This window comes from Homo sapiens, chromosome 8 (assembly GCF_000001405.40).
Source record: "Homo sapiens chromosome 8, GRCh38.p14 Primary Assembly".
NCBI lineage: Eukaryota > Metazoa > Chordata > Mammalia > Primates > Hominidae > Homo > Homo sapiens.
In genome coordinates this window covers 121,269,174-121,270,398 of record NC_000008.11, presented here as the reverse complement: position 1 = coordinate 121,270,398, position 1,225 = coordinate 121,269,174, and the positions used below count along the sequence as shown (strand labels likewise).

The 1,225-nt window shown below is 40.8% G+C and overlaps 1 annotated feature.

Moving 5' to 3' along the window:
- Window positions 780-979: a silencer, noted in NCBI's record as "fragment chr8:122281660-122281859 (GRCh37/hg19 assembly coordinates)". NCBI's record gives its function as "represses an EF-1alpha promoter that drives an FKBP-Casp9 reporter gene in an ReSE screen in K562 erythroleukemia cells {active_cell/tissue: K562}" and the evidence as "EXISTENCE:reporter gene assay evidence [ECO:0000049][PMID:32094911]".

The window sequence follows — 1,225 nt, the reverse complement described above, 5'->3', positions numbered from 1 at the left end:
ACATGAGACACTATATGAGCAGATTCTCAAACAGCTTTTATTTAAGTTTGATCATCTTGTTTTTTAGAAAGTCTTTCAAATGTAAAAAGAGGTTAATCTTTTTATTCAAAAGTCTCAAGGAGAAAAACAGCCCCGAGAATGTGAGTTTTCTCTGCAGTAGAGGTATTGCAGAATTTAGTGTTTTGGAGGGATTTCTGTGAAATGAACGAGCATCTCTTTAGATTGAAGTTTATAACATAGCCTCCTTGCAGTGAGAATGTTTTCATGCTTCCCAGCTGTTCCAAAACTCAAGCTACAAAATACAGTAACAGATGGGAAGAGCCCCTCAAGAGCATCTTTGGACTTACCAGAGTTAACGTGTCTCCATGCTAAACCTGCCTGTTTGTAAATTCAGGACCGGTTCTCCTAGAGTTAAAGAAGCTTAGGATGCTATTAAAAATGAGTGCACCATGGAGGATTCATTGGAAAAAAACTATTATATTTAATTAAGTATTCTGGTTATCTAAGCCTCCCACTCACACAGTAAAAGTGGTTTTTGGAAGCTTCAATGGCCAATAATGGGCTTGTAGTTGGAAAAATAAATGAAGTCCAAATGCTTTTTGGAAACAGAGGATTAAGCCCATAGTTGTTGACTATGTTGAGACATTCACCACTCCAAAGAAAGAGAGTAAGGTAAACAACACAGATGAGTGTCAATACAAACAGCAAATTGGTGATCAAGATGGCATGCACAGGCTAAACAGAGCCCTTGTCCTCTGAATCTAATTATGTTCAAATAGTTCTTTTTTTTTTGCTTTTTTTTCTTGAGACGGAGTCTCGCTCTGTCGCCCAGGCTGGAGCGCAGGGGCGCGATCTTGGCTCACCGCAAGCTCCGCCTCCCGGGTTCACACCGTTCTCCTGCCTCAGCTTCCTGAGTAGCTGGGACTACAGGTGCCCGCCACCACGCCCAGCTAATTTTTTGTGTTTTTAGTAGAGATGAGGTTTCACCATGTTAGCCAGGATAGTCTCAATCTCCTGACCTCGTGATCCGCCCCGCTTGGGCTCCCAAAGTCGAATAGTTCTTAAGGGAAAACAATGGAAATCCAGACTAGATAAACTGAAGTGGTGTGGAAGTTTTGCAAAGTTGCAGAGGTTTCTAAAAAATGGGTATTCTGATTCATATTTAAAGGCAAGGATACCAACTTTGCAATGAACTATATAACTGAACTCAGAAACAGGATCTAAT